Below are 5,851 nucleotides of genomic sequence, written 5' to 3'. Positions count from 1 at the left end.
GAATCTGTTTTTGCCTTACCCAGCTTCTTTTATATTTTTTCTTACAGGCATTTCCCTAATCAATTTCTTCTGCACTTGATTGATTAATTTGTATTCAAAAATGATCATGAAAACAGTTTGGAAATTTCTTACAAAACTAAATATGCAATTATCATACAACCCAGCAGTTGAACACTTAGGCATTCATCCCAAAGAAATGAAACCTTCATGTTCACATAAAAGCCTGTAGACAGATGTTCATCACAGGTATGACTCCATTTATATAATATTCCTAGGGTTAAGGACAAAGGTGTTGTGAAAGGAAGTGGGTATTGTTTTAAAAGGGCAACACAGGCCGGGCACGGTGGCTCACACCTGTAATCCCAGCACCTTGGGAGGCCGAGGTGGGTGAATCATGAGGTCAAGAGATCGAGACCATCCTGGCCAACATAGTGAAACCCTGTCTCTACTAAAAATACAAACATTAGCCAGGCGTGGTGGTGCGCGCCTGTGGTCCCAGCTACTTGGGAGGCTGAGGCAGGAGAATCACTTGAACCTGGGAGGCGGAGGTGCAGTGAGCCGCTCGGCTCATCTTGCAGTGAGCTGAGATCGTGCCACTGCACTCCAGCCTGGTGACAGAGCGAGACTCCATCTCAATAAATAAATAAATAAATAATAAATAAAGGGCAACACAAAGGATCCTTGTGCTGATGGAACTGTTCTATATCTTGACTGTGGTGGGTACATGAACCTACACGTGATAAAATTTCATGGAACTAAACACACACACACACACACACACACATAAGAATGTAAGTAAACCTGTAATAAAATAAGTGCAGTATATCAATGTCAATATACTGGTTGTGATATTATACCATAGTTCTTCACGTTGATACCATTGTGAAGAAACTGGATAAAAGGTACACTGGATTTCTCTGGATTATTCTTACAACTGAATGTGTATCTACAATGATTTCAAAATAAAATGTTTAAAAAAATTGATTTTATATGACATGACTGAATTTGTAATGAGATTTTGTGACCATAAGATTCCTTAACAGAGCCTCTCCCTGACACAGGGTGAGAAATGGGAGAAAACTAATAGCCTTGGTAATTGTTAAGCTATTTCATACTTCTGAACAAACTAGATATAGGAAATCTGTCTGTTGTAAGAGGAAAAGCACAGTATTTAAAAATAGATCTCTGTTCTTGGGCAACTTGGATTGTCCCTGCCACTTACTAGTTATGCAGCGTTAGGATAGTTGTTTTCAGCTCTCTATGCCTCTATGAAACATTGACAACTCAGCATTATACATTTTAAGATTCATGGATTAATGTGTGCAATTGTCTTAGAATTGTTCATGACACATGGAAAGTACTCAATCTACATTAATCTGTTTTTGTAGGTCAGCATGTCTCAATAACTCTTTCATTTTCAAAACACTCAGTATGGCAACAGCATCTCTAGTACAACTACAATGTATCCTCCAAATGCCCATCACTTCAATCTCCCCAAATATTTGAGTTGTGACTATACCATGACTTCTGGTGAAAGTATATAATATTCCGGCCTTTACACATTTTGAAGTGAGAGAAAAATCAGCAGGAGGGGGGGAGCCAAGATGGCCGAATAGGAACAGCTCCAGTCTACAGCTCCCAGTGTGAGCGACGCAGAGGATGGGTGATTTCTGCATTTCCATCTGAGGCACCGGGTTCATCTCACTAGGGAGTGCCAGACAGTGGGCGCAGGTCAGTGGGTGCAGCGCACCATGTGCGAGCCGAAGCAGGGCGAGGCATTGCCTCACTCAGGAAGCGCAAGGGGTCAGGGAGTTCCCTTTCCTAGTCAAAGAAAGGGGTGACAGACGGCACCTGGAAAATCAGGTCACTCCCACCCCAATACTGCGCTTTTCCGACGGGCTTAAAAAACGGCGCACCAGGAGATTATATCCCACACCTGGCTCGGAGGGTCCTACGCCCACAGAGTCTCGCTGATTGCTAGCACAGCAGTCTGAGATCAAACTGCAAGGCGGCAGCGAGGCTGGGGAAGGGGCGCCCGCCATTGCCCAGGCTTGCTTAGGTAAACAGGGCGGCCAGGAAACTCCAACTGGGTGGAGCCCACCAGAGCTCAAGGAGGCCTGCCTGCCTCTGTAGGCTCCACTTCTGGGGGCAGGGCACAGACAAACAAAAAGACAGCAGTAACCTCTGCAGACTTAAATGTCCCTGTCTGACAGCTTTGAAGAGAGCAGTGGTTCTCCCAGCACGCAGCTGGAGATCTGAGAATGCGCAGACTGCCTCCTCAAGTGTGTCCCTGACCCCTGACCCCTGAGCAGCCTAACTGGGAGCCACCCCCAGTAGGGGCAGACTGACACCTCACACGGCCGGGTACTCCTCTGAGACAAAACTTCCAGAGGAACGATCAGACAGCAGCATTCGCGGTTCAGGAAAATCCGCTGTTCTGCAGCCACTGAAGCTGGTACCCAGGCAACCAGGGTCTGGAGTGGACCTCTAGCAAACTCCAACAGACCTGCAGCTGAGGGTCCTGTCTGTTAGAAGGAAAACTAACAAACAGAAAGGACATCCACACCAAAAACCCATCTGTACATCACTATCATCAAAGACCAAAGTAGATAAAACCACAAAGATGGGGAAAAAACAGAGCAGAAAAACTGGAAACTGTAAAAAGCAGAGCGCCTCTTCTCCTCCAAAGGAACGCAGTTCCTCACCAGCATCGGAAGAAAGCTAGACGGAGAATGACTTTGACGAGTTGAGAGAAGAAGGCTTCAGACGATCAAACTACTCCGAGCTATAGGAGGACATTCAAACCAAAGGCAAAGAAGTTGAAAACTTTGAAAAAAATTTAGACGAATGTATAACTAGAATAACCAATACAGAGAAGTGCTTAAAGGAGCTGATGGAGCTGAAAGCCAAGGCTTGAGAACTACGTGAAGAATGCAGAAGCCTCAGGAGCTGATGCGATCAACTGGAAGAAAGGGTATCAGCGATGGAAGATGAAATGAATGAAATGAAGCGAGAAGGGAAGTTTAGAGAAAAAAGAATAAAAAGAAACGAACAAAGCCTCCAAGAAATATGGGACTATGTGAAAAGACCAAATCTATGTCTGACTGGTGTACCTGAAAGTGATGGGGAGAATGGAACCAAGTTGGAAAACACTCTGCAGGATATTATCCAGGAGAACTTCCCCAATCTAGCAAGGCAGGCCAACATTCAGATTCAGGAAATACAGAGAATGCCACAAAGATACTCCTCGAGAAGAGCAACTCCAAGACACATAATTGTCAGATTCACCAAAGTTGAAATGAAGGAAAAAATATTAAGGTAAGCCAGAGAGAAAGGTCGGGTTACCCACAAAGGGAAGCCCATCAGACTAACAGCGGATCTCTTGGCAGAAACTCTACAAGCCAGAAGAGAGTGGGGGCCAATATTCAACATTCTTAAAGAAAAGAATTTTCAACCCAGAATTTCATATCCAGCCAAAGTAAGCTTCATAAGTGAAGGAGAAATAAAATACTTTACAGACAAGCAAATGCTGAGAGATTTTGTCACCACCAGGCCTGCCTTACAAGAGCTCCTGAAGGAAGCACTAAACATGGAAAGGAACAACTGGTACCAGCCACTGCAAAATCATGCCAAATTGTAAAGACCATCGAGGCTAGGAAGAAACTGCATCAACTAACGAGCAAAATAACCAGCTAACATCATAATGACAGGATCAAATTCACACATAACAATATTAACTTTAAATGTAAATGGACTAAATGCTCCAATTAAAAGACAGACTGGCAAATTGGATAAAGAGTCAAGACCCATCAGTGTGTTATATTCAGGAAACCCATCTCACGTGCAGAGACACACAGAGGCTCAAAATAAAAGGATGGAGGAAGATCTACCAAGCAAATGGAAAACAAAAAAAGGCAGGGGTTGCAATCCTAGTCTCTGATAAAACAGACTTTCAACCAGCAAAGATCAAAAGAGACAAAGAAGGCCATTACATAATGGTAAAGGGATCAATTCAACAAGAAGAGCTAACTATCCTAAATATATATGCACCCAATACAGGAGCACCCAGATTCATAAAGCAAGTCCTGAGTGACCTACAAAGAGACTTAGACTCCCACACATTAATAATAGGAGACTTTAACACCCCACTGTCAACATTAGACAGATCAACGAGACAGAAAGTCAACAATACCCAGGACTTGAACTCAGCTGTGCACCAAGTGGACCTAATAGACATCTACAGAACTCTCCCCCAAATCAACAGAATATACATTTTTTTCAGCACCACACCACACCTATTCCAAAATTGACCACATAGTTGGAAGTAAAGCTCTCCTCAGCAAATGTAAAAGATCAGAAATTATAACAAACTGTCTCTCAGACCACAGTGCAATCAAACTAGAACTCAGGATTAAGAAACTCACTCAAAATCGCTCAACTATGTGGAAACTGAACAACCTGCTCCTGAATGACTACTGGGCACATAACGAAATGAAGGCAGAAATAAAGATGTTCTTTGAAACCAAAGAGAACAAAGACACAACATACCAGAATCTCTGGGACACATTCAAAGCAGTGTGTAGAGGGAAATTTATAGCAGTAAATGCCCACAAGAGAAAGCAGGAAAGATCCAAAATTGACACCCTAACATCACAATTAAAAGAACTAGAAAAGCAAGAGCAAACACATTCAAAAGCTAGCAGAAGGCAAGAAATAACTAAAATCAGAGCAGAACTGAAGGAAATGGAGACACAAAAAACCCTTCAAAAAATTAATGAATACTGGAGCTGGTTTTTTGAAAGGATCAACAAAATTGATAGACTGCTAGCAAGACTAATAAAGAAGAAAAGAGGGAAGAATCAAATAGATGCAATAAAAAATGATAAAGGGGATATCACCACTGATCCCACAGAAATACACACTACCATCAGAGAATACTACAAACACCTCTATGCAAATAAACTAGAAAATCTAGAAGAAATGGATAAATTCCTCGACACATACACCCTCCCAAGACTAAACCAGGAAGAAGTTGAATTTCTGAATAGACCAATAACAGGCTCTTAAATTGTGGCAATAATCAATAGCTTACCAACCAAAAAGAGTCCAGGACCAGATGGATTCACAGCCGAATTGTACCAGAGGTACAAGGAGGAACTGGTACCATTCCTTCTGAAACTATTCCAATCAATAGAAAAAGAGGGAATCCTCCCTAACTCATTTTATGAGGCCAGCATCATCCTGATACCAAAGCCGGGCAGAGACACCACCAAAAAAGAGAATTTTAGACCAATAGCCTCAATGAACATTGATGCAAAAATCCTCAATATAATACTGGCAAACTGAATCCAGCAGCACATCAAAAAGCTTATCCACCATGATCAAGTGGGCTTCATCCCTGGGATGCAAGGCTGGTTCAATATACACAAAACAATAAATGTAATCCAGCATATAAACAGAACCAAAGACAAAAACCACATGATTATCTCAATAGATGCAGAAAAGGCCTTTGACAAAATTCAACAACTCTTCATGCTAAAAACTCTCAATAAATTAGGTATTGATGGGACGTATCTCAAAATAATAAGAGCTATCTATGACAAACCCACAGCCAATATCATACTGAATGGGCAAAAACTGGAAGCATTCCCTTTGAAAACTGGCACAAGACAGGGATGCCCTCTCTCACCACTCCTATTCAACATAGTGTTGGAAGTTCTGGCCAGGGCAATCAGGCAGGAGAAGGAAATAAAGGGTATTCAATTAGGAAAAGAGGAAGTCAAATTGTGCCTTTTTGCAGATGACATGATTGTATATCTAGAAAACCCCATCGTCTCAGCCCAAAATCTCC

The 5,851-nt window shown here is 42.3% G+C and overlaps 1 annotated feature.

The window, feature by feature from the left end:
• Nucleotides 1,370–1,869: an enhancer, noted in NCBI's record as "H3K4me1 hESC enhancer chrX:51176173-51176672 (GRCh37/hg19 assembly coordinates)". NCBI's record gives its function as "activates a minimal SCP1, AML or CMV promoter by ChIP-STARR-seq in primed H9 embryonic stem cells {active_cell/tissue: H9 hESC(primed)}" and the evidence as "EXISTENCE:reporter gene assay evidence [ECO:0000049][PMID:30033119]".

The sequence above is a fragment of the Homo sapiens genome, chromosome X (genome assembly GCF_000001405.40).
Source record: "Homo sapiens chromosome X, GRCh38.p14 Primary Assembly".
NCBI classification, from domain to species: Eukaryota; Metazoa; Chordata; class Mammalia; order Primates; family Hominidae; genus Homo; species Homo sapiens.
Note: the sequence above shows the minus strand (reverse complement) of the source record. Positions and strands in the feature narration are given on the sequence as shown.